The 25,975-nt window shown below is 48.4% G+C and overlaps 2 protein-coding genes and 1 long non-coding RNA gene across 26 annotated transcripts in view, besides 3 other annotated features; 2 read left to right on the top strand and 1 right to left on the bottom strand.

The window, feature by feature from the left end:
• MTERF4 (mitochondrial transcription termination factor 4) overlaps positions 1-24,056 on the top strand; it is a 59,702-nt gene extending 35,646 nt beyond the window's left edge. The window contains exon 6 of the mRNA XM_047443428.1: positions 23,627-24,056. The gene's annotated coding sequence lies outside the window, so the exon portion shown is untranslated. The remainder of the gene's footprint in view (positions 1-23,626) is intronic.
• The window catches only part of SNED1 (sushi, nidogen and EGF like domains 1), a 97,919-nt gene that overhangs the window by 28,927 nt on the left and 43,017 nt on the right, over positions 1-25,975 (bottom strand). For 17 of the 23 annotated variants that reach the window (XR_002959254.2, XR_002959256.2, XR_002959258.2 and 14 more), the window contains 13 exons: positions 18,202-18,327; positions 17,876-17,980; positions 17,507-17,620; positions 16,709-16,825; positions 14,782-14,898; positions 14,485-14,601; positions 14,174-14,287; positions 13,316-13,489; positions 3,738-3,851; positions 2,942-3,055; positions 2,517-2,630; positions 1,685-1,798; positions 1,047-1,343 (listed from right to left, as the gene is read on the bottom strand). Coding sequence is in view for 14 of the 23 variants with exons in the window: in XM_011510931.3 (XP_011509233.1) it covers positions 1,047-1,343; positions 1,685-1,798; positions 2,517-2,630; positions 2,942-3,055; positions 3,738-3,851; positions 13,316-13,489; positions 14,174-14,287; positions 14,485-14,601; positions 14,782-14,898; positions 16,709-16,825; positions 17,507-17,620; positions 17,876-17,980; positions 18,202-18,327 (1,737 nt within the window). In the remaining 9 variants the exon portion in view is untranslated. Of the gene's footprint in view, positions 1-1,046; positions 1,344-1,684; positions 1,799-2,516; positions 2,675-2,941; positions 3,056-3,737; positions 3,852-13,315; positions 13,490-14,173; positions 14,288-14,484; positions 14,602-14,781; positions 14,899-16,708; positions 16,826-17,506; positions 17,621-17,875; positions 17,981-18,201; positions 18,328-25,975 lie in introns of those variants that run through there. The other 6 variants (XR_002959257.2, XM_047443885.1, XM_047443888.1 and 3 more) reach the window with 2 other exon arrangements.
• Positions 2,416-2,575: a silencer, noted in NCBI's record as "silent region_12526". NCBI's record gives its function as "represses an Ori minimal core promoter by ATAC-STARR-seq in GM12878 lymphoblastoid cells {active_cell/tissue: GM12878}" and the evidence as "EXISTENCE:reporter gene assay evidence [ECO:0000049][PMID:35858748]".
• The window catches only part of SNED1-AS1 (SNED1 antisense RNA 1), a 50,629-nt gene continuing 27,177 nt past the window's right edge, over positions 2,524-25,975 (top strand). For both annotated transcript variants that reach the window (NR_187212.1, NR_187211.1), the window contains exon 1: positions 2,524-2,562. This is a non-coding gene — a long non-coding RNA (SNED1 antisense RNA 1). The remainder of the gene's footprint in view (positions 2,563-25,975) is intronic.
• Positions 24,554-24,783: an enhancer, noted in NCBI's record as "active region_17413". NCBI's record gives its function as "activates an Ori minimal core promoter by ATAC-STARR-seq in GM12878 lymphoblastoid cells {active_cell/tissue: GM12878}" and the evidence as "EXISTENCE:reporter gene assay evidence [ECO:0000049][PMID:35858748]".
• Positions 25,234-25,283: an enhancer, noted in NCBI's record as "active region_17412". NCBI's record gives its function as "activates an Ori minimal core promoter by ATAC-STARR-seq in GM12878 lymphoblastoid cells {active_cell/tissue: GM12878}" and the evidence as "EXISTENCE:reporter gene assay evidence [ECO:0000049][PMID:35858748]".

The following is a 25,975-nucleotide window of genomic DNA, read 5'->3' as shown; positions in this document are numbered from 1 at the left end:
CCACCCATCCATCCATCACGCCACTTCGCAGCAGTCTGTGCTCTCAGCACCTTTTCCTCTTTCCTCGAGCCTCTAGCACCCCTTCCCCATTCTTGCTCCTGTGTCTGGAGGCCACAGGCATGTTGGGTGAGAGTCCCATGGCCCCATGGCCCTGCACCCCACTTGGTTCCTGCCCAGCCTGTTCCGAGATCCCCTGTGCTCTAGCTGATGCGGCCGGGCTCCGTGGAAGGCCAGCCCTCTGCTTTCTTCCGGCCCTGCCCCTGTCCGTCCACTGCCATGTTCTAGGGCTCCTTTCTCCTTCCCAGAATCCCTCCCAGCAGCACACAAGCCCGCTAAGCCCTGACGCCTTCCCTAGAGCGCTCAGCATCTTCTGCTCCCCGACACGGCAACAACCCCACAGGCTGTGCACAACCCGGGCCTCCCCTGCAATCTTGGTGGCTCAGGCTCTGAGGAGGCTCCTCCTAGGACCCCCTCTTCAGGGGTCACATCTGGTCACAGCTTTCAGTGCCAGCTCCAGGTGGAGGCTCTGGGTCTGTCATTCCATCTAGGGCCTGCCCCACGGCTCTTCCCGATTGAGCCACCGATGCCTCCCCTTAGCACACCTCAGCGCCTACATATCCCTGTGAGCAGGTGCCTCTTTCAAACTCTCCCCAGGCCTTCAGAGCACCCCAGAGTCCCAGCCCCCCCAAGCCCACCCCCGCGGCCCCTGTCTCCCACACTGGCTCCTTCTAGGGACCCTTTTGGGAAGCCCCCATTCCTCCCCAGTCCCACTTCCTAGCTCCATGCCTGGGGGTTGTGCTGCTCCCACTCTTGGCTCGATTCTATGCGCCCCAATCCCATGCCTGTATCTTGTGGACCCAAGGCCACTCCCACACAGCTCTGTCTCCAGCAGGGCGGTGCCTCCAACCCCCAGCTCAGCTGTCTGTCTTGCTGCTGCAAGAACTAGGAGGGTGGACGGCATGACAGCCGCCCTGCAGGTGCCGGGGCCAGCGCTGCCCTCGAGGGGCAGGGGCTGGGCAGGGACGGCCAGGCTCGGGGACACTCACGCGTGCGGGCCAGCAGCACGGCAGGCCTGCTGATGTCATTCTTGTTGTTACTGTTTCGCTTCACTGAGAAGACGGAGATGTTGTAGGCCCTGCCGGCCGCCAGGGCCTGGAGCTGGTGCGAGGAGCGGGTCCTGTCCACAAAGTCTGTGCGGCGGTAGGAGCCGTCGGAGGAGACGTAGGTGACCGCGTAGCCATCAAGCATCTGCCTGGCGGCTGGACCATTGGGCGGGTTCCAGGAGATAGAGACCCCACTCTCCTCCACTCTCTCCATCTTGAGGGCCGTCGGTGGGAAGAGCTCTTCAGGGTTTGGGTCAAAACAAGGGGAGGGGACTGGTCAGCCGTTAGCTATGCATGCCTGGCTCCCGTCGGCGGCTCAGCCGGGTCTGGCTCTTGGGCCTGACACAGCCATCGCTGGCAGAGTCCTTCTTTGTCCCTGGCCACGTACCTCCAGGAGGGTCACACTTTTGAATGTGTGACCGTGTTTCAAGCCCACCGGGGGATTTTATCCCCTCCCTGTTCCTCAGGGAAGGGGCCTGGGCAAGCAGCGGCCAGACGCTCTGCCCTTGGAGACCGTTGGGCCCTCTAGGGAGAGGGGACCCCCTCGTGGCTCCCTCACTGGAGGCGCCCTCGCCACCCACCTTTGGCGCAGTCCTCGCCCGTGTAGCCCACTTTGCAGGTGCAGCTGTGGGAGCCGTTGCTGGCCAGGCAATAGCCACGGCCCCCACAGGGGCTGGAGAAGCAGGGGTCACTCACTGAGGGGAGAAAAAGTGGCAGTGTATGTTGGGGCGTGGCCAGGGGTCCCTGCTCCAGCCCCGCCCTTGCTCCTGGGGCACTGGGTCCCTCCTGCGTGGGTGTGGAGGGGCGGGGGGCACAGGACAGCTACTGCCTCCCTTCGGTTCTGCCACCTCCACTGCCCTGCGGGGCCCAACCCAGCAGCTCCTCCACCCTCCACAGCGGAGTGCCACCAGCCGGACTGGCTGAGGGGAGGAGACACTGGATCAGGACAGGACAGGCCACCACCCCAGTGACAGTCCTGCTTGAGGAGGGGAGGTCAGTGGTCAGGGAAGCCTCATCAGGAGGTATCCCACTGGGGGCTGATTAGGGAGAATGTTCCAGATGGAAGGACAGCCAGGGGCCAGACCTGGGTGTGCAAGAAACTTGGCCTGTCCAAGGGCAGCAGGGCCTATGTGTGGACGTGAGGCCCCACCCCTGGGTGTGTCCTCGGGTGAAGAGGGGTGTCTGGGGGGTGAGCGCAGGAGATGGGGAGGTTTAGAAGGCACCATTGTGGGACCAAGGGAGACAGGCGGAGGGCCACTGGCCTGAGAAGGGGACTTCCAAGGCGGCGGGCAGAGGGCGGGGAGCAGGCGGGCAGAGGGCGGGGAGCAGGCGGGCAGAGGGCGGGCAGCAGGCGGGCAGAGGGCGGGGAGCAGGCGGGCAGAGGGCGGGGAGCAGGCAGGCCTGCCGCCCTACCTGTCTCGCAGTGGTAGCCGAAGAAGCTCTCTGGGCAGACGCACAGGTAGGCCCCGCCGCCGCTCTCACACCGGCCTCCATGCTGGCAGGGGCTGGAGTCGCAGGCGTCCACCTCTGGAGAACACCCAGAGAGTGGGCCCAAGCTGCAAGGGGGGAGTCTGGGGGAGGGAGGAGAGGACAGCGGGAAGAAGGGAAAGGAGGAGTCTAGGGGCGGAGGCCAGGAGAGAGGGGCAGTGGGCAGGTCCCGCCCCTCAGCCCTCCCCAGCACCCTCACCTCCACCCCTCCCTCCCAAGGTGGCCGCAGCCCTGGGGGTCCCTCTCCCCAGGTGGCCTGCCCAGCAGGGAATGTGGGGATGCCCCACCTCCTCTCTGATCTTCCAGAGGCCCAGGCTCTGCATGTGGGGCCCACTGGAGGGAGCCCCTACCTGTCTCACAGTGGACTCCAACGAAGCCTGCAGGGCACCGGCAGACATAGGCCCCTGGGAGGTTCCTGCAGGACCCTCCATTTCTGCACGGGTGAGCTCGGCACTCATCCCTCTCTGCACAGAGAAGGGGTGTCAAGGGTGTTGCTGGCTCAAGTCTGAGGCGCCCACATGCCCCCAGGATTCCGTGCATTTCCTGGGGCTTCAGTTACCCCTTTCCCAGCTGGGAGCAACTACTCAGGACATGTGCTTTTTCTTCCATCAGCCCCAAACCCACCCCTCCTCGGGAGGCGTGCCACCTCCACTGCCTGCTGGCAAAGCCCCACCTCCAGGCCATGCCTTCCTCCAGGCCACTCCGCAATGGGAGGCTCCCCAGGGCCACGACTGGGCACGGCTCCCTGGGCCTTGCCCTCCCTGGAGCCTGCGTTTCTCAGGCTTAGAGCCCTAGCGAGGTACAAGAGTGTGCAGGGCTCATGGGGCAGGCCTCCCCTCCCTCCACTGGCTGGAAGCACCGACCAGGTGTCAGAGACTGTGACCTGCCCTCTCCGACGCCCACCTTCTCTGCGCCCTGAAGCCAGGCCAGCATTTCTCAGCTGGGCTCTCAGTCTCCCCTGGGGAGGTGCAGGAAGGGATATTTGTAAAATCTTTGTCTTGGATGTCAGAGCTGGCAGGGGCCCGAGAAAGCATGCAGTGGCCACCCTGGCCATCCAGACAGAGACCTGTCCGGGGGACCCAGTGCCTCAGGCACATGGCCAGTGTGCTGCAGCTGTCACCCCAGCGGGGCCAGGGCCCCTCTTACCCAGCTCACAGTGGGCGCCCTCATAGCCTGTGCTGCAGAGGCACAGGTACCCAGCAACGCGGTCCTGACAAGAGCCCCCATGCAGGCACGGCTGAGACCGGCACTCATCGATTTCTGAGAGGAGAGAGCCCAAGAATAAAGCAATGTGGCCACGATTAAGCCAAATTAAGATGCACATAAACTAGTCCTGAGGGGCCAGACAGAATTCGATGATACATCATCAGTGGTTGGAAAGGCCAGAGACCAGGGCTGGATATCCTTGGAGTCGGGGCAGGGCAGTGGGCCTGGGGCTCAGTGCCTGGCTGTGTCTGTGAAGCAGCAGGGCGGGCTTGAAACCACCCCAGGGCTCCCAGAAGACGCTGTGGGACTTAATTCCAGTGGTTCAGGCCGACAGGACAAAGGCCTCAGGGGTTTGACAGAAAATGTCTCATGTCCCATCTTGCCATTTCAATGTATAATAGTCACCTGTGAAACCAGTCCATCTGGGACAAATCTTGGTTTTAAATGATTCACCACAGCTTTCTTTTCAAGCGGGAGTTGTGCTCCTGAATTTAAATATTTATTTTTTTAAAGTTTAATTTCATGCTTAAAAAGTAAATAAATGGTAATGACTTAGTGACATCTGGGACTAGCAGCCACCCCGGCAGCCAGAATGCTGAATGGGCTCATCCGACCGTGTACCCTTCTCTTCCCTTGCGATAAGAATCTCTGGGTTTATAATTTCCTTGTCTTTAAAAACTAGGTTTTCTGGCAGTAAAATATGTAATTAAAATTAGCTTAAAAATTTTATAAATTGCCTAAACAATAGTGAATGTTTTTGTTGTTTATGAACTTTATTCATAGTACATCATGATATATATTGTCTTCTCTCAGCATTATATGAAGAAGAGAACTCCACACTGTAGGTCACTGTGGTTCATAGATTTTCACTGCTGAATAACATTACACAGTGTGGTTATATCATACTTCACCCATTCTCACTGGCTGGGTCTTTGGGTTGGTTCTAGACTTTTTCCTTTTTTTGTTTTCTTTTTTTCTTTTTTTTTTTTTGGGGGGATGGAGTTTCGCTCGTTGCCCAGGCTGGAGTGCAGTGGCATGATCTTGGCTCACCACAACCTCCGCCTCCCGAGTAGCTGGGACTAAAGGCGCCCACCACCATGCCCGACTAATTTTTGTATTTTTAGTAGAGATGGGGTTTCACTATGTTGGCCAGGCTGGTCTCGAACTCCTGACTTCGTGATCCGCCTGCCTCAGCCTCCCAAAGTGCTGGGATTACAGGCATGAGTCTACGCCCAGCCTAGACTTTTTGCTTTTACAAAAAATGTTGCTGTGTATATTCTTTCCCATCTCCTGGTGCAGACGTGAAGTTTTTCTTAGGTTTATACCCAGAAGTGCAATTGCTGGAACACAGTTGACGTAAATGAGCAACAGTGGGCAGATTGCTCAACAGGCAGAGTGCCACATTGTTTTCAAAGTGCTTCTAGCAATTTATACTCTTGCCAGCAATGCATAAGAAATCTTGTTGATCCACATTCTCACCGGTATAGGCTTTTCAGACTTCTGAAAATTTACCAGCTGAATGTACCTCATTGCACTTTTGATTTGCATTTCCCTGATTACTAATGAAATAGAATATTTCTTTTTATGTTTGTTGGCCTTTTGTATCTCTTCTTCCATGAAATGCCTATGCATGTTTTTTTTTCTATTTTCCTATTAGGTTGTTTTCTCATTGATTTATCAGAGTTCTTCATGTAGTCTTGAGACTATTTATCTCTTCTCCCAGTTTGTAGTTTAGATTTCACTTTCTTAAGGTTTATGGATTTAGGTTCTAATTTTCATATGGTCAAGTATGTTCATCATTTCTTTTTAAATTCTTTTTGTGGCTTAAGGAGTCTTTCACTACCCCAAAGTCAAAAATATATTTACCTATATTTTCCACACAAAATTATATAGTTTTTTTTGGTTGTTTTTTTTTGAGACAGGGTCTCACCCTGTCCCCCAAGCTGGAATGCAGCGGTGCAATCACAGTTCACTGCAGCTTTGAACTCCGGTTTCAAGTGATCTTCCCACCCTAGCCTCCTGAGTAGCTGGGACTACAGGTGCATGCCACTACGCCTGGTTAATTTTAGTTTATTTTTGTAGAGTTGGGGGTCTCTCTATGCTGCACAGGCTGGGCTCAAACAAAACTCCTGTCTTGGCCTCCCAAAGTGCTGGGATTATAGGCATGAGCCATGTGCCCGGCCCTGTATAGTTTTTTTTTAAAGAAACATTTAGGTCTTTAATCCACCTGGATTTAATTCCAGTGTATGAAAAATAGAGAACCAATATAATATTTTTCCAAGTACAAAACCATTGTATTCCAGCTCTCATGAATATTTTCTCATATGCTTTTGTATTTCTTTCTTTTAGAAGTTTATAGTTAGGGACGGGCATGGTGGCTCGCGCCTGTAATCCAGCACTTTGGGAGCCCAAGGCGGGTGGATCACCAGAGGTCAGGAGTTCAAGACCAGCCTGGCCAACATGGTGAAACCCCGTCTCTATTAGGAATACAAAAATTAGCTGGGTATGGTGGTGAGTGCCTGTAATCCCAGCTACTTGGGAGACTGAGGCAGGAGAATCGCTTGAACCAGGGAGGCGGAGGTTGCAGTGAGCCGAGATTGTGCCACTGCACTCCAGCCTGGGCAAGAGTGAGATTCTGTCTCAAAAAAAAAAAAAAAGTTTATAGTTTTAGCTTTTACATTTATGTTTATAGTTCCTTTTACGCATTTAAAAATTTATCATGTTTTTGATGCTATTAATGTAACACTTTCATTTCAAAGTGTTCACTGCTACAACAGGTTCTATATACTGACCCTGTATCCTGGGATCTAGTTGAATTCACTTGTTAGTTCTATAGCTTCTTTTGTAGAATTTCCTTAGGATTTTCTATGCATACAATCATGTGATCTCTAATTCTTTCTTCCTTTCCTTCCTTTTATTTCCTTTTCTTGTCATCTGGCACTGTCTAGGGCCTCCAGGAAAATGCTGGGAATACGTACTGAATGGACACCTTGCCTTGTACGGATTCCAGGTGGAGTCTTTCACCACTGAGTACACTGGTAGCTGAGGTTTTTAATGGATGTCCTTTATCAGGTTGAGGAAATTATCTTCTACTCTTAGTTGACTAAGAATTTTAAATACCAGTTGAATTTGTCAAATAATTTCCTGCATCTATTGAGATATATAGTTTTCTCTTTCATCTCCTAATATGATGAAGTACATTGATTGACATTAAAAGTTAGACCAACCTGTGTCCTTGAGAAAAATCCCACTTGGTCATGACTGTATCATTCTTTTATATAGTACTGAGCTTGACTTAGTAATATTTTGTTTGGATTGTTGTGTCTATGTTCTTGAGAGATACCAGTCTGTAACTTCAAATTTTGTAGTGTCTGTGTCTGGTTTTGGTATCAAGGTGAGTTGAGAAGTTATCAAATAAGTTGGGTATCAATTGAGTTTGGTATCAAATGAGAAGTGTTCTTCCCTCCTAGATTTTCTAAAAAATATGTAGCTCTTTCTAAAAGAGGTTGTACAAAGTTGGTATCATTCCTTTCTTAAACATTTGGTAGAATTCATCCGTGAAGCAATCTGACACAGCTGTTCTGAGGAAGGTTTTTAATTACAAATTAAGTGTAACAGATATAAGGCTGTATATGTTTTCTATTATTCTTGTGTCAGTTCTGGTAATTTGTCTTTCAGGGTATCCATTTCCCCTAAGTTGTCAGATACATTGGCCTAAAATTGCTCATAGGTGTTCTCTTGTCCTTTAAGTACTGGCAGGATCTTTAATGTTTAAAGGACTCCACTGTAAACACGAGGTAGGATCTCCTTTTCTATTTTGATCTTGCTAATTTCTCTCTTTTTTTCCTGATCAGTCTAGCTAGGGTTTATCAATGTTAATGATTTTTTTTTTTTTGAAACAGAGTCTTGCTGTGTCACCCAGGCTGGAGTGCAGTGGTGCGATCTTGGCTCACTGCAAGCTCCGCCTCCCAGGTTCACACCATTCTCCTGCCTCAGCCTCCTGAGTAGCTGGGACTACAGGCGCCCGCCACCTCGCCCAGCTAATTTTTTGTATTTTTAGTAGAGACGGGGTTTCACCGTGTTAGCCAGGATGGTATCCATCTCCTGACCTTGTGATGTGCCTGCCTCGGCCTCCTAAAGTGCTGCGATTACAGGCATGAGCCACCGCGCCCGGCCCAATTTTAATGATCTTTTCAAGGAAATAGCTTTTGGTTTCATTGATCTTTCTCTGTATCTGTCTTTTTTATAATTACATTTTCTAATTGTTGGTTGCTGATACATAAGCACATAATTAATTTTGTTGTAATCTATATCCACTAAACATGTTACATTAGGCTTTTCAAAGAACTAATTTTGGCTTGTCCTTTCTTTTGTATCTTGGATCTCTACTTCATTAATTATGGCTTTTACCTTTATTCCTCTTTCCTTCTACTTTTTTCAGCATCATTTCGTATTTTTTTTCCTAACTTCTGAAGTCAGACATTTAATTAATCAAGTTTGAAATTTTCTTCTTTTCTAACATTGGTATTAATGTCAGTTTCTTAATTTTTGCTTTATATATATTGAGATTATTGTATTAGATGCTTGAATATTTATAATAATTGTATCTTCTTCGTGAACGGAACCAATTATCATTGAGAGACACCCTCTCATTCTTAATGATGCTTTTCGTCTTATACTCTTCTTTTTCTGATAGTAATATAGCTAATACGCCAGCTTTGATTTGTATACACCTATTTTTTTCCTTTCACTTTCATTCTTTGTATAGTCTTATGTTTTAGGAATGTCTAAGAGTGCTAGCTTGTTTTATACCACATCTGGCAATCTCTCACCTGGAGAGTTAGTCCATTCATATTTGTATTTTTTCTATCATAATTCTTTCCAATCTTAATATTTGCCATGTTCTTCTGATTACTTTTTTCTCCTTTTGGATAGTGACAAGTCTTACCATGAAATCTGATAACTCTCCCTTCTCTTAACTGGGTTTATCTTATTATCTTATTATTATCTTACTTCTTTCAGAAAAGGACACTTTTTTTTGCTAAGCCTCTGAAGCTGTGTTTGTATGAGAATATATTTTTTTATGGTCTCACATTTGAATAACAATTTGACTGAATAAAGATATTTAGGTATTAAGTTTATTTCTTAATTTTTAATTTTTTAGAGACAGGGTCTTGCTGTCACCCAGGCTGGAGGGCAGTGGCATGATCATAGCTCACTATAGCCTCGAATTCCTGGGCTCAAGTGATCCTCTCACCTCAGCCTCTTGAGTAGTTGGGACTACAGGAGCATGCCACCATGCCTGGCTAATTTTTAAAGTTTTTTGTAGAGTTGGGGTCTTGCTATGTGGCCCAGACTGGTCTTGAACTGCTGGGCTCAAATGATCGTCTTGCCTTGACCTCCCATTATATGTGTGAGCCACTGCGTATGGCATATATATATATATATATATATATATATATATTTTGAGATGGAGTTTTGCTCGTCGCCCAGGCTGGAGTGCAATGGCGCAATCTCGGCTCATTGCAACCTCCGCCTCCGAGGTTCAAGCAATTCTACTGCTTCAGCCTCCTGAGTAGCTGAGATTACAGGTGCCCACCACCATGCCCAGCTAATTTTTGTATTTTTAGTAGAGATGGGGTTTCACCATGTTGGCCAGGCTGGTCTCAAACTCCTGACCTCAGGTGATCCTCCCACCTTGGCCTCCCAAAGTGCTGGAATTACAGGTGTGAGCCACTGCACCCAACCTATTTCAATATTTATACTGTTTGGGATTTGCTGAGCTTTTTGAATTTGTGGGTTGATGTATTTCTTCATTTTTAGAAAATGTCCAATTATTATCTCTTCAAATATTCTTTTGCCCATTCTGTCCTCTATTTCTGGGACTTCAATTATGTGCTTGTTTGCCTGTTTGATATTGTCCCACAGATCTCTGATGCTGTTTTTTAAAACATTCACTTATTTGGCCCGGCGCAGTGGCTCATGCCTGTAATCCCAGCACTGTGGGAGGCTGAGGCGGGTGGATCACGAGGTCAGGAGATCGAGACCATCCTGGCTAACACGGTGAAACCCTGTCTCTACTAAATATAAAAAAAAATTAGCCGGGCGTGGTGATGGGCGCCTGTAGTCCCAGCTACTCGGGAGGCTGAGGCAGGAGAATGGCGTGAACCCAGGAGGCGGAGATTGCAGTGAGCCGAGATCGTGCCACTGCACTCCAGCCTGGAAGACAGAGCGAGACTCCGTCTCAAAAAAAAAAAAAAAAAATTTCACTTATTCAGAATTCCTAATTCATTTTTAAATTATTTTTTCTCTCTGATCTGCAGTTTAGATAATTTTGTTGTCCTGTCTTTGAGTTCTATGGTTTTTTTTCTTCTGTTGTATCCATTTTGTTGTATCCATTTTGTTAAGCCTATCCAATTTATTCATTTCAGCTGGGCACAGTGGTTCATGCCTGTAATCCCAGCAGCTTGGGAGGCAGAGGCAGGAGGATCTCTTGAGCTCAGGAGTTCAAGACCAACCTGGGCAACACCATGAGATCCTGTTTCTACAAAAATAAATAACAAATAAAACAATTTATTCATTTCGGATATATTTTCAGTTCTAGATTTTCTATTTTGTTACTTTTTTTCTCTGCTCAAATTTTCTATTCTCTCAATCATTCTGCCTCTCGTTTTTCTTTAACATAAAGAAAATTTTTCATGGAATTTTAAAGTCTTTGTCTAAATTCCAACACTTGGGTGATCCATAAGGTCTTTTTCTATCGATTGTTTCTTCTTTAGATTATGTGTCATCATTTCTTGCTTCTTAGACATAGTGCGTATAAGAACAGTGGAAATCAAAGTAGAAAATTTCACACTAGGATGAACATACTGTATTCTCTACTAGGTAGCGAAGCTGAGTAGCTGACCTGTGATATCATTAGGAGTTGAGCTGGGTTGGGGCTAGAGCAGTTTTAAGTAGTTTCAGCTCAAGATTGGTTTTAAACGCTTAAGGATTTGGACAGGCCTCTCCCTCCAGGTGGACTTGGAATCTAATCCTTGTGAGACTATGAAATCTATCTCTGCTTTACAGACCAGTCCCTGGCTTCTCATGCATTTGTAATGATCCTGTGGGTGAGACCTGGTAGGTGCTGAGAACTTACTCTCTGCATCTGTGGCTTCTCTTGATTTCAATCCATTGTGCTTGCCCCTGCAGCATGACAAATTTGGCTGGAGGATGAAAGCAGCCAACAGCCTCAACTTCTCTGCCTCCTCAACTCTTTAATAGGTGAAAAGATAGGATTTCATAGGCTTCATGATGTTCCTTTAACATTACAGTGACAGTGGTGGTATTCTGTGACTGTCTACACCCTAACCAAATGGATCTCTTCAGTATTTAAAAAAATTCACTGTCTTATATCTGATATTGCTGTTGAGAAGTTTGATGTCAAGCTGATTCTTGTTCCTTTGTACATGACCTGATTTTCCCTCTGGAAGTTAAAACTTTTTCTGTTTGTCTAGGATATTCTCGTATTTTACTATAATGTGTCTGGTGTTTGTTTCCCCTTTGCTCCTGTCTGACGTTCTGTGGGCCCTTTTAATCTGCTGTTCATCTGGAACTCTGGGAATTTAACTCCCTAGCCACTTATCCTTTACATTTTCATTTTCTCTTCTTCTTGGGCTCCGATTATCTCAGCTTTAGCACACCTTCTACCCTCTACAGCACAAATATTTTTTCTTTTTTTTTTTTGAGACAGAGTCTTACTCTATCACCCAAGTAGGAGTTCAGTGGCACGATCTCACCTCACTGCAACCTCCGCCTCCCAGGCTCAAGCGATTCTCCTGCCTCAGCCTCCTGAGTAGCTGGGATTACAGGCATGTGCCACCACACCCGGCTAGTTTTTGTATTTTAAGTAGGGACGGAGTTTCACTATGTTGGCCAGGCTGGTCTCGAACTCCTGACCTCAGGTGATCCACCTGCCTCGGCCTCCCAAAGTGCTGGGATTACAGGCGTGAGCCACAGCACCTGGCCCCAACATTTTCTTTTTTATTTATTTATCTTTCCCTGCTTCTTTCTGGAAGAGTTCTTCAAGCTGATCTTTCAACTCACTAACTTACTCTTCATCTGCATCCATTTATAAATTATGTCTGTTATTTCAACTATTATAGTTTTTAATCTGCTTATTCCCACTGTTTTTAAAATAATTTATCGATCCTGTTTTGGATGGCCAATGCCATGTTTACTTTGTAAATTTGTCACGGTTATTTTATACCGTTAATCCATTTTCTTTTTTTGTATGAGGTGGGGTCTTGCTCTGCTACCCAGGCTGGAGTACAGTGGCAGGCTCATGGCTCACTGCAGCCTTGACCTCCCAGGTTCAAGTGATCTCCTGCCTCAGTCTCCCAAGTAGCTGGGACTACAGGCATGTGCCACCACGCCGGGCTAGTTTTTAAATTTTTTTGTAGAGATGAGGTCTCCCTATGTTGCCCTTGCTGGTCTTGAACTCCTGTGTTAGTCTGTCTTCTACACTTCTGCTTCCGATCATACATATTTTCTGGACTTTTATTATTGTTTTCTGAGGCAATCGTACTTTTCAGGTGTCTCGATATCCTGGCTGGTTGCTCATATTCTCTGAGGATATCGGCTTCTCATCTTCTGGCAACATATAGGTGGGGAAGTAGCATTGGGAGGGGGGGTCATCTCCAAGACAGTCAGGAGCTCACCTGGGGCTTGAAATCCCAGAAGGAAAGGAGGGATGCTTGAAGCCAGGTGTTCCCAGAACCCTTCGCCTGAGACCACGCAGGTTGGCCTTGGCTTTGCGGGGCATGTGGGGGACAGGGATGGGCTTATGTGCCCCACTCAAATCTGGGTGCTGTCACCCACTGTTCCTAAGCTTGTTTTAAAATCCTTGCTTCGTAAAAACTAGCTCACATCACACAGACTTTCTGATGGACAGTTTGGACTCCTCTGGCATAATGCGATGCACCTGCAGGGTGTTAATGGCCCTACTTCTCCAGGGGCTTCGGTCAGAGGGAGCCTTGTCTCTAGGCTGTGCACTCCCAGCTCCCAAGCCAGACAGGGGTGGGACCTCAGTGGCAATGCTCTCTGGAGCAGCACTCCTCAAATGCCTGCAGGGGGAAGGGGGATCTTGTTCTGATTCCACAAGTCTTCAAGGGGCCAGGAGTAAGAGGTAGGTCCTGAATCCGTATCTGGCTCTTTAGGACTCTGCCCCTGGGCTACCTCTTGGCCTCAGCTGCTGCATCTGCAGAGTGGGTATTTGGGTGTTTGACCTCCTGCTCCGGGCTGCTCTGAGGATGGGGAAGCCTTTAGTGAATGCCCCAGAGCAAAGTTGACTGTGATCATCACCACTGTCACCCCAAGGTCCACATTCACAGACAGGAGACTGAGGGGAGCAGGGGCAGGACCAGGTCAGAGCTGGGCATCCAGGCTTGGGCCTGCAGCCCCTGTGCTCCTCCACATGGCCAGGATGAGGAGGGTGTGGGCCCCACCTGCCCCACCCCAAGGGCCCACAGAATCACCAAGGCACTGGGGAGGCTCACTCCAGACACCGTGTGGCTGGCAGACCCGGATGCGGCTGGGGGCGCTCAGGCTGTAGCCACGGTCACATGCATACAGGGCCACCGCGCCCAGCCGCGTGCCGTTGAAGCGCAGTGTGGCGTGCTTCACCTCCTCCGGGGGGCCGCAGTCCACCTCTGCAAGGCACGGCAGCCTGTCTCGCACGGTCCTGTGCCTTCCTGGCCCCTCCCCACCGCCCTGCCTCTGCCCGACCCGACTGCAGGGCCCAGGGATGTCCTGCTCCCACACTGCCCTTCACCGGGGAAAGGTGCCTCGACTTCTGGGGCCTGGTTGCCGTGATACGTTTCCTTCTTCCCATTCCTGCCTTGCCCAGCTCTGCAGGGATTAGCAAGAAATCCCACGCTCCCCACTTGACCCCCCTCTAGCCCTCTCACCTGCCTGCCACTGGTATCCCATGTACCCTGCTCGGCCCCCCGGCCATCTCACCTGCCTGACACCGGCATCCCATGTACCCTGCTTGGGCCCCCCAGGCCTTACCTGCCTGACACCAGCATCCCATGTACCCTGCTTGGCCCCCCGGCCCTCTCACCTGCCTGGCACTGGTATCCCATGTACCCTGCTTGACCCCCCCCCCCCCCGCCGACCCTCTCACCTGCCTGGCACCGGTGTCCCATGTACCCTGCTTGGCCCCCCGGCCCTCTCACCTGCCTGGCACTGGTATCCCATATATCCTGCTTGGCCCCCTGGCCCTCTCACCTGCCTGGCACTGGTATCCCATGTACCCTGCTTGGGCCCTGGCCATCTCACCTGCCTGGCACTGGTATCCCATGTACCCTGCTTGATCCCCCTGACCCTCTCACCTGCCTGGCACCGGCGTCCCATGTACCCTGCTTGGCAGTGGCAGAAGAAATCCGTGTCCCGGTCCTCGCAGGTGCCCCCATTCACACACGGGCTCCGGAAGCAGGGGGAGGGGGCTGCCAGAATGCAGGAAGGTCCTGGCCACTGTGTCTTCCCTGAAGGCTCGGGACTGTGTGGGGCATCCTGCCTCCTGCACCCAGCTCCACCTCCTGCGCCTCCAGGGCCTGGACCAGCCCTGCCCATGGGCCTGTTTTCACATCTGCAGAGAGGGTTCACCCCTGGCCGCCCTGGCCTGGCCTCCCACCCACCTTACCTATCTCGCAGTGCCGCCCGGAGAAGCCTGGGGGACAGTCACACTTGTATTTGCCAATGTAGTGGAAGCAGGTGCCGCCGTTGTGACAGGGGCCAGAGGCACACGAGTCTGGCTTCCCTGGAAACAGAAGCCAGGTCAGGGTCACAGCCCACTGCCCCTCCCACGTTCCCCAACATCCCAGAGCTGGGGCCTCTTCATGAGAAGCAGACCCACAGCTGGCAGGGAGGGTGCATCAGGGGCCCCAGCTCAGGGCTGGCCCGTCGTTCCTGCCCTCCCCCCTGCCCCTGGGGGCCGCACCGATCTCACAGTGCCTCCCAGTGAAGCGGTAGGGGCAGCTGCAGTGGTACTCGCCGCCCGCCTCCTTGCACGTGCCCCCGTTCCGGCAGGGCCCTGAGCTGCACAGGTGTGGCCGGGCTGTGTGGAAGGACAGAGAGGCAGATGAACGGGGCCAGGCTGCTGGCCCCACAGAGCCACTATACCCTCCTGGCATCTCCTCAGTCCTCTGGTGCTGGTGGGGCCTTCTCGACGAAGCCCTGGGGCCTGGCTGCAGCAGGGGCCAAGCAGGTCCGCACACATGGTGGGGGCTGGGGTGGGGCTCACAGGCTGGAGACCCCAACTCAGTCACAGGTGGGCCCTTTGCTTGCCTGTCCTCTTTTCTGCCCAGGCTCTGGCAATGGCTGGGCCCTTCCTGTGGAGAACCGGCCCCAACACTGCAGCGGGCGCAGCACTCCCTCCCTCCTGCACACGGGCATTCCCCATCTGACAGGAAGCAGCTGAGTCTCATCTGCCGTGACATCAGGGTCCCCAGCAGTCAATCTGGATTTCTGTGTGTTCTGTACCTGCATTGGCATTGCCACATTTTCCCTGGGTCCTAACAGTTCCTGGAACCCGAGGAGCTCAGACGGCCGGGCCTGTGCTTGAGGCAAGCACATATTTAAAGGTGTCTGCGAAACCAAGCACATCTGTCCTGCCACCTTGACAATCACACTGTCAAAGGGCCAGTGAGGAGTGCCGAATCCTTGGACCCCTGGGTGTTCTGAGTGGCGGGAGGGGCCTGCCCCACTGTGCTCGCTCCTCTCCTGCCAGCCATCCCACGCTGCAGGTCCAAGCTCTGGCTGCCCCACCCCTGAGGACAGCCATCCTTGTCCCTTCCGTACTCCCTCCGGGGTCAGAGGTGTCCACATTGGTGGCCTGTGTGCTCACGGAAGCTGGGATGCTGGGGGAGGGCTGTGCAGTTCCTGGGGCGGGCACAGAACCTTTGGGGCAGGGACACTGGGTACCAGCAGTCTGGTCTAGTGAGGAGATGTGGGCTCTGGTAGGACCCCCACCTTGGGTACAGTGGACTTCATACCACTGGCAGGTGTGAGCTGGAGTAGGGCCAGAGTCAGCTCTGGGCAGGGCCCATGAAGGGCCTCAGGGTGGTCCTAGGAGTGTGTTGAGAGACAAAGACCTCGTCAGAGCTTGCAAAGAACCAAGCAGTTGGGGTCTTCTCTTTGGAAACCTGTTCTACCTCTGCTGCAGTGGTTGGGGGAGCCACGGGGTCCAGGGCTCAGACTTCAGGGTCTTTCCCTCAGGGACAAGGAACAGAGCAGGGGAGGGGCCGTGGAAGGCTCCACACCAGTCCAGGCTGCGGGGGTGCCTGGGGCTGAGCCCCTGGAGAGGGTGCCAGGTCACTCTGCGGTCAGGCAGCCCCCTCTGGGCACTGACCACTGAGATGCTGAACAGGTCTGGGGGTGACTGATGGGAGTCCTGACTGTTGCTTCAAACTGCACAGAAGGGACAGTCCTGGGTGGGGCCTGGCGGGGATAGCTACGCCTGCAGTGTGCTTACAGAAGGACACTTCTATTCTCAAGCGACTAAATGTAATAAAATTCGACATTTTCCATGCTGAATTAGATTGAGCAAAATCCTATGGAAATTTTAAAAATAAAATTTGATATAATGATTCTAAAATCTATTTGGAAAAATGCTGAGCAGGCAATGAAGCCTATTTTCAGAAGAGCAAGGTAATGACCAGCAGGCCTGGCACTGGTGCAGATCAGAACCATCCAAACAGTGAGGTGCTCACCTCTAAATACACAGAACAGAGCAGCACATCAGGCAAGGCTCTAGACGAGGTCAGCAATTCGCGAAACAAGGAGAGAGACAGCAGAGAAGCAGGACGGCGGACCGCGGGCGCTCTCCAGGGTGCTGACGCCGGCCCGGACGCCCCTGCCCGCCATACCTTTCTCGCAGTGCTTGCCGTGGAACCCGCGCGGGCACTCGCAGGTGTAGGAGTCGTCATGGGCATCGCAGGAGCCTCCGTTGAAGCAGGGGTCCGAGTCGCAGGGTGATGGCAGGGCTGGGGGCGGGGGACAGAGGGTGGTCCTGGAGCTTACGCCGCATCTGTGCGGGCGGCAAGAGGCTGGCGGGCACCTTGCCTGCCAGGGTTACCCTGACATCCTGTCTGGAACCAAGGCCACTGAAAATACACTCTGTGGGCATCTTGATTCCTCAGAGTGGGCTCTAGGGCCCCTCCCTGGAATTTCTCTTTTTCTCGATTTTAGCAGAATTCACCCTTCCGTCTTCTACGAGGCAGGACTGAGCTGTGATACAGAAACGCCTTCCTGTCATCACTGCCAGCATCACATCATTATTCTATATAACTATACGTGATGCAAGTGATTAACCATCTCATCTATACACTAACAAACGTATAGTAGTGATACATTTCATTACACATGCCTAATTATGTATGCATTAAATATTTTAATAGCTTGTGTTGGGGCTTAGGTAAGATACCACATGGTGTTTGTATACTTGCAGAAGTGCTTTTCCCCCTGTGAGCTTACTCCACTGGGGAAGAGGAGATGTCTAGCCCCATATTACAGGAAGGCTATTGAGAGAGGCTTCCCCAGGTGCCAGCTCTCCCGAGAGTCAGAAGGGAAGTAGGGACTCTGGCCTCTGCCTGCCTCATCCACCGCTTTCTCCCTGGCTTCTGTCCGGGCCCCCGGCCCAGCAGGCTCGTCCCCGAGCTACTCACAGTGGCTGGCATTGTGGTCGGTGTGGCAGACGCAGAGGTAGCTCCCGCCGTGCTCCATGCAGTAGCCCCCATCTGGGCACTGTGTGTTCATGTTGCAGGGCATGGCTGTGATTTCTAGAGAGAAAGGAGGAAGCCCCATCCCATATTCCACATGTCTTCCAGCAGACCTCGAGTCCTTGTCAAGGATGGGGCCTCCCAAGACCCAGTGGCCCCAACAGGTTCAGGCACTCTTGTGGCCAGTCCCTCCTGGGTGGGGGTAGAACCAATGGTCGACAGTCTGGACCTACGGACCCCGGCCGAAGCCACCATTCATTTCCCGATTATGAGGATGCTCAGGGACAGGGCAGGAAGGGTGACCTGGGCACCTACCAAATTCACAGAGAAGCCCAAAGAATCCCAGGGGGCACTGGCAGAGGGTGGTGTTGGCGCCCAGGCATCTGCCTCCGTTGCGGCACTCACAGTCATCGGGGACTCCTGCCACGAAGAGAGGGAGGAGCCTCCCATGTGGGGGCGCAGAAAGATGGCACCCTCGCTCCAGACCCTGCCCTGCTCCTGGCCAACTTCCCATACAAATTGCAGTGGACGCGCACTCACACGTTTCTTTTCGGGGCGTTTCCTGCATGCACCCACAGGAAGGCCCTCCCTGGGTCTCCTGCCCCAGCCCTAAAACGGCAGCCCTTGCAGCCCAGACGCACTCTCCCTGCAGTCCAGGCCCATGAAGCCTTCGGGGCACTCGCACACGTAGCCCTGGTCCGCATCCACACAGGTGCCCCCATTGTGGCAAGGGGCCGAGAGGCAGGCGTCTGGCACTGGATGGTCTCCTGCAAGAAAGACGGCAGTCACCAGCGGCCACGCAGGGAATGTGGGGAGAGTGGTCTCCCCGCCCAGCTCCAATGGCACCTTTGGGTTTTCACCTCTGTTGTCATTCCCAAGTGGAATTTAAGCCAGAAGCTTATTTCTGGAAATGGATTTGTAGCTGCGCTGCACCCCATGGAGCTCAGCATCTCCCAGCTCCTTCCTCGACAGAACAAGAAGCACCAGAGAAACCACCCAGGATTGGACAGAACAAGAAGCACCGGAGAGACCACCCAGGATTGGACAGAACAAGAAGCACCGGAGAGACCACCCAGGATTGGACAGAACAAGAAGCACCAGAGAGACCACCCAGGATTGGACAGAACAAGAAGCACCAGAGAGACCACCCAGGATTGGACAGAACAAGAAGCACCGGAGAGACCACCCAGGATTGGACAGAACAAGAAGCACCAGAGAAGCCACCCGGGATTGGACAGAACAAGAAGCACCAGAGAAACCACCTGGGAATGGACAGAACAAGAAACACCAGAGAGACCACCCAGGATTGGATAGAACAAGAAGCACCAGAGAAGCCACCCAGGAATGGACAGAACAAGAAGGACCAGAGAGACCACCCAGGGGCCAGGGGCCTCCAAACGTTTCTGGTCAGGCATCCCTATCAGTGAAGTATTTGGGATTTTCCAGATATCTTTCTGCTGATCTCTAGTTTAATTTTGCTATGGTCAGAAAACACAATCCTTTTCAATGTATTGGGCCTTACTTATGGCTCACAATATGGCCTATGATGGCCAAGAGCACTTGAGAATAACGTGAGTGCTCTATAAATGCCAAGTAGGCCAAGCCCAAGTCTCCTCTAGCTTTACTGATTTCCTGTGTACATGTTCTATGAACCACTGAGAGGGGAGTGTCGAAATCTCCACCAATAATTATGGACCTATTTCTCCTTGCAGTTCAGTCAGCTTTTGCTTCATGTGAATAGGTGTTAATAGGTACAAGTATATCTAGAGTTATGTCTTCTGGATGAATTGACCCCTCTATCGTTATAAAAGGTCCCTCCTAATTCCCAGCAGTATTCCCCATTCTAAAGTTTAATTTATTCGATATTAATATAGCCACTGCAGCATTATCTTGATTAGTTTACCTAATTTACTTTTTTTTTTTTTTTTTTTTTTTGACAGAGTCTCGCTCTCTTGCCAGGCTGGAGTGCAGTGCAGTGGCGCGATCTCGGCTCACTGCAACCTCCAACTCCCTGGGGTTCAAGTGATTCTCCTGCCTCAGCTTCCCGAGTAGCTGGGATTATAAGCACGTGCTACCACACCCAGCTAATTTTTGTATTTTTAGTAGAGATGGGGTTTCACTCTGTTGGCCAGGATGGTCTTGATCTCCTGACCTCGTGATCCGCCTGCCTTGGCCTCCCAAAGTGCTGGGATTACAGGGGTGAGCCACCACGCCAGCTACTTTTTGGTTTTTAAAAGATGTTCAGTTTCTTCACGTGCTTTCAAAATGTGTCTTTGTAAATCAGTATACAGTAAAATTGACTTTTGTTCACCACACCTCTATGAATTTTAACACATATATAGATTTGTTTAACCCCCACCACAGTCAGGATACAGAACATTCCATCTCCCTGAAAGACTTCTTTGGTCTATCTCTTCAGAGTCACAGAGCTCCTGTTACCCCTCAGTCCCTGGCAACTACTGATTTGTTCATCACTATAGTTTTGTTTTACGAAGAATGCCATTTAGTGGAACCATACAGGATATAATCTTTGAGACTGGCTTCTTTCACTCAGCATAATTCCCCTGAGATCCATCTAAGTTGTCGTATGTATCTATAATTGGTCCTTTTTATGACTGAGTAGTATTCCACCATACAGAGGTTCCACAATTTGTCTATCCATTCACCCAGTGAAGGGTATTTGAGTTTTGGGGTTTGGTGATTATAAATAGAAATAATATAAACATCTGTATATGGATTTGTGTGTAAACATAAGTTTTCATCTCTTTAGAGTTAATACAAGGAGTGGGATTGCTGGGGCATATTATAAGCATATACTTAACCTTATAAAAAACCTGCCAAACTGTTTTTAGAGTGGCTGAACCATTTTGCATTTCCACTAAAAATGTGTGAGAGTTCCAGTTGCTCTGTATCTACACCAGGTCAGTATTATTTTTTTTAGGCATTCTAATGAGTTTGTTGTGATTCCTCGTAGTGGCTTTTATTTGCATTTCACTAATGGCTGATATTAATGACAAGAGTATTTTTCCATCCGTTTATTCACCTCCATATATGTATCTTTTGTGGCCAAGTATCCGTTCAAGTCTTTTGTCCATTTTTAAAATTGGGTTGTTTGTTTTCTCACAGTTGAGATTTGAGAATTCTTGGTGTATTCTGATCACAAGTCCTTTGTTGGGTATGAGTTTTGCAAACGTTTTCTCCTGGTCTGTAGCTTGTCTTTTTATTCTTTTAACCATGTCTTTCACAAAGCAAAAGTTTTAAATTTTGATGAAGTCTAATTTATCTTTTTCTTTTTAATGAATCATGCTTTTGCTGTCTTATCTAAGAACACTTTGCTTAAGACCAGGTCATAAATTTTTTTTTTTTTTGCCTATGTTTTCTTCTAAAAATCTTATAGTTTATGTTTTTCCATTTAGGTCTATGATCCATTTTGAGTTAATCTTTGTATAAGGTGTGAGGTTGAAGTTGAGGTTTTTTTTTTATACATATAAGGATATTTAATTGTTTCAACCCCATTTGTTGAAAAGATTATCATTTCTCCATTGGATTTAAATCTTTTTCAAAAATTAATTGGCTATATTTGTTTGGGCTTAATTCTGAATTTCCTCTCCTGTTTCATTGATCCATGTGTCAGTCCCTTTGCCAATATCACACTGAATTGATCACTGTGGCTTTACAGTAAATCTTAATACTCAGTAGTGTGATTCCTCAAAATTTATTCTTCATCAAAATTGTTTTGGTTTTCTAAATTCTTTTTCTTGCCATATAAATTTTAGAAGCAGTTTGTCTACATTTACAAAAGATTCTGCTGAGACCTCTGTTGGAATCATGTTAAATCTATAAATCAATTTAGAGAGCACTGCCATATTTACTACGTTGAGTCTTCTAATCCATGAACATGGTATGTCTGTCCATTTACTTGATCTTGATTTCTTTCATCAGCACTTTGTAGTTTTTCAGCATGCAAATTCTCTAATGTTTTAGTAGATTTATACTAAAGTCTTTCAATTTGAGAGGAGCTATTATAAATGGTATTGTCAATACAATTTAGATCAGATTACACAGATTCCTTCAACTTGGGGGAGCTCAGGAGTTCATAAGTAACTTTATGGAGTTGCTGTCCCAAGATTCACCCTCCAGTTTCCCCAGTACTTTCCAGTTTTCTGGGGCTACCTTTTTCAGTCCTCTGGCAAAAACGCTGCGGCTTTTATTTCCCTACCTTGCCACTTTTATAATGATGGCATTCATGGCTGGGACCAAGTAATGGGATGACAGACAAAGGGAAAAACAACAGGAAAGGGAAAAACAATACCCAACCCCTTTGAAACCACAGCACCTCCAACTGGAGAGGAAGGTTTCTTCCTTCGCAGTTTAAGGGCACTTGAGGATTCCCCAACTTCTGCACTGTCAGCCCTGCTTCTTAAGCTGGACTAGAGGGCTTCTCCTGGAGCACTCTTTCTGTCCGTGTGGATGCCCACTTCTGGTTTTGAGGTGGCTTTGAGTCCTGGCTGGGGGGATACCAAAGCAAAAAACAAAAAATGGTAAACTCACCACTGGTTTGGTGGTACTTCGAAGCTTGGTCTTCTTCCCCAATCCACCTGCTACTATTTACTTTTCAGAGTCCTCTGACAGCTACTCCATGCATTCTGTCCAGGATTGTAGCTGTATTCAGTGGGGGAGAGACAGGGGTAGACTGTGCTTACTCTATCTTTTTCAGAACCAGAAACCCATTCTATTACTTTACAATTACCTGTGTCTTTATACTTAGAGTGGGTTCTTGTGACAGCATATAGTTGGGTATTGCTTTTCAATTCAATTTGACAATCTTTGCCTTTTATTTGTATGTTTAATCATTTTACATTTTAATGTAACTACCAATATGACTAGACTGAACCTATCATCTTGCTATCGGCTTTTACTTGTCCCACTTCTTTCTTTTTTTCCTCTCTTCCTGCCTTCTGGATTGAGTATTTTTAGGATTCAATTTCTATCTCCACAATTGGTTTATTAGCTGTAATTCTTTATTATTATTTTTCACTTGTTTTGGGTTTACAATGTATATCTTTTACTTACACAGCCTACCTTCAAACAGTATATACCACTTTATGTAATATAGGGACCTTACAATATTATACTTCCATTTCTTCTTATCTTTTACATTGGAGTTGGTAAACTATAACCCACAGACCAAATCTTGCCTGCCATCAATTTTTAAAAGTACAGTTTTATTGGAACACAGCCATACCTATTCATTTACATATTGTCTATGGCTGGCTGCTTTCACATTACAATGGTAGAGTTGAGTTGTGATAGAGACCATATGGCTCACAAAGCCAAAAGTATTTACTTTCTGGCCCTTTACAGAAAAAGTTTGCACAGCTTGGTTTATGTTATTGGAGTCATCTATTTTATTTCTGCATGTAAGTTTTATTATTTTAAAATTTTTCTTTAAAGGGATTAAAAAGTCTTCAACCCACATATTTATCATTTTTAACACTCTTCATTCTTTTGTGTAGATCCAGATTTTCCCTTGGTACCAGTTTTTTTTTGCTTCTGACTAAATAATTTCCTTTAACATTTTTTTGTAATGCAGGTATGCTGGTGATGAATGCTCTTCATTTTTGTTTGTGTAAAAAAGTCTTTATTTCAGCTTAACTTTTGAAATGTAGTTTTGCTGGTAATACAGTACACTAGGTTGATGGTTTTTTCTTTCAGTGCTTTGAAGGTGTTACTCCAGTGTCTCCTGGCTTGCATTGTTTTTGACGAGAAGTCTGTTTCATTCTTGTTTCGCTGTATGTAATGTGGCTTTTTCCTCTGGCTGTTTTTGAGGTTTTTTATCATTAGTTTTCAGCAATTTGATTATGGTATGGCTTTGCATGGTTTTCTTCATGCTTTTCTTGGAAATGTGGGTTTTAGTTTTCATCAAATGTGGAAAATGTTTGGGTATTATTTCTTCACATACTTTTTCTATAACACTCCTTTCCACACCCATCTCCATCCTCCTTCGCAGACTCCAAATACGTGGATCCCAGGCTGCTTAATATTGTTCTCCATCCTCCTTTGCAGACTGCACATACATGGATCCCAGGCTGCTTGATACTGTTCTTCATCCTCCTTCACAGACTCCAAATACGTGGATCCCAGGCTGCTTGATACTGTTCTCCATCCTCCTTCGCAGACTCCAGATACGTGGATCCTATTACCCTAATATCGTTCTGCAGGTTGCTGAAGATCTCTTCTTTTTCTTTTAGTCTTATTCTCTCTGTGATGCATATTGAATTGTTTCTGTTTCACTCTTCAGGTTCATTGATCTTTCCTTCTGCAATATCTAACCTGCTGTAAATACTATTCAGTGTATTTTAAAAACTCAGATATATTTTTCATTTCTACAAGTTTTTAAAAATACCTTCTACTTCTCATTAGGTTTTTTTCCCCTCAACAATCTTGATTATAGGAGCATATTCATAATAGATAATTAAACATTTGTATCTGCTAATTCTGTCATTTCTGGTGCCTGTTTCTATTGATCTATTTTTCTCCTGACTGTGAGTTATATGTTACTTCTTTGTAGACCTGATAATTTTTGACTGGGTATTTTGGAGTTCTGGATTCTGTTGTATTATTGATATACTCCTGTTGAGGAGTATAGGATTTTATTCTGGCACATGGCTCAATGACTTAGGATCAGTTTGATCCTTTTAAGCTTTCTTTAAGATCTGTTAGGGCAGGTCGACATTAGTCTTTAGTTCAGCACTACTAAAGTGACACCCCACTGAGGACTCTATGCAATAGACTCCCAGCCCTGTTTGAGCTCCAGGAAGTGTTTGACTTACTGCTTTCTAGTGGTTCTTTCCCCAGCCTTGCAGATTTCATCCTGAGCCTGATAATAATAAGCCAAAATTCAGGGAGGTCTCCTCTTGATCTCATGCTCCCTCCTGCCTCAGGAGCACCATCCTGTAGCCACTGAACTAGGATCTTTGTCTCCTCAATTCAAAGGGACTGCTGGACTCTCAGTTCCTCCTCCCAGCACAGTGGAGTGGAAACTGCCCCAGGCAGAATCTGGGGCAATTGTAGGGCTCACCTCATTTGATTCCCTTTTCTCAGGGGTGACAGGCTTGTGCTGTCTGTTGTCTAATGGCTGAAAAGGGTTTCACAGATTTTGTCTGTTTTTCTAGGTGTTGATGGTGAGAGGGAAATTCCAAGAGCAGTTAATTCTTGTTGGCCAGAAGCAGAAGACTAGAGACTCTTTTTTGTAGTGTCCAATTTGTGGCCCACTTCCTGTCAGACCTGATTAGACTGTCAGCATCTGCGCCTTGTAATACAGTCAATCAGTCATTACGTTAGCACCACCGTCAGTCTGTTGTTTCTTTCTTCTTCCTCTTTTGTTTTTTTTTAGACAGAGTCTCACTCATTCTGTTACCCAGGGTGGAGTGCAGTGGTGCGATCTCAGCTCACTGCAACCTCTGCCTCCCGGGTTCAAGCAATGCTCCAGCCTCAACCTCCCGAGTAGCTGGGATTACAGGCATGCAGCACCACGTCTGGCTAACTTTTGTATTTTTGGTACAGATGGGGTTTCACCACGTTGGCCAGGCTGGTCTTGAACTCCTGACCTCAAGTGATCCGCCCGCCTCAGCCTCCCAAAGTGCTGGGATTACAGGCATAAGCCACCACACCCGGCCAGTCTGTTTCTTATTATTCACTCTACTTGCATCATTATTCTGTAGAAAACACGGTTTATTTGCAAAAAATTTTTGAAACCACTTATCCGTTTCCTGACATGAATTTAGTGAAATACATTGATATTTAGATAACAATCTGGGCAAAGTGAGCTGTGACACGGAACAGTGACTTTAAAGCAGCCAAATAGGTGAGGCTGCCTCCTCCCGCTCCTGCCCCACCCTCCCCTCAGGACACACCCTGGCCTCCCATGCACTCGGCAAAGACTGATGGAGGGCCCATGACCCTCTGTGTCTTACGGGTAAAACAGAATTTCCTCCTGAATTTTTTAAACTAAAAATAACCTGAATAGTTTGTCTTTAGCATCTCCCTGGAGAGAAGCAGCACCTGGTGCGTCCACAGAAGTCGGCACAGTGGGTGAGCCTCTGGAGGCAGGTGCAACAATCAGACACGAAAGCCATTTTTATACTGTAGGCTGCAATCTCCAGTTGGCCTTTTAATTCCTCTAACAAGTCACAACTAGCAGTTAAACAACACAAAATAGAATAGAAAATAGTGAAAGGTCAGTTTTCTTTCTGATTCCCGTTACTTTCCCTTGTGTGCTGAGGGTTCTAGAGTAGGAGAGGAAGATGTTAAAAAAGTCAAGAGTCACCCAGGCTGGAAGAGGAGACTTGTGAACTTTGTCATCCCTCCTGGCATTTCACAGATGGAAACCAAGGCCCAGAGAGGGGAAGGGGT

Source organism: Homo sapiens, chromosome 2 (genome assembly GCF_000001405.40).
Source record: "Homo sapiens chromosome 2, GRCh38.p14 Primary Assembly".
In the NCBI taxonomy this organism is placed as follows: domain Eukaryota; kingdom Metazoa; phylum Chordata; class Mammalia; order Primates; family Hominidae; genus Homo; species Homo sapiens.
Note: the sequence above shows the minus strand (reverse complement) of the source record. Positions and strands in the feature narration are given on the sequence as shown.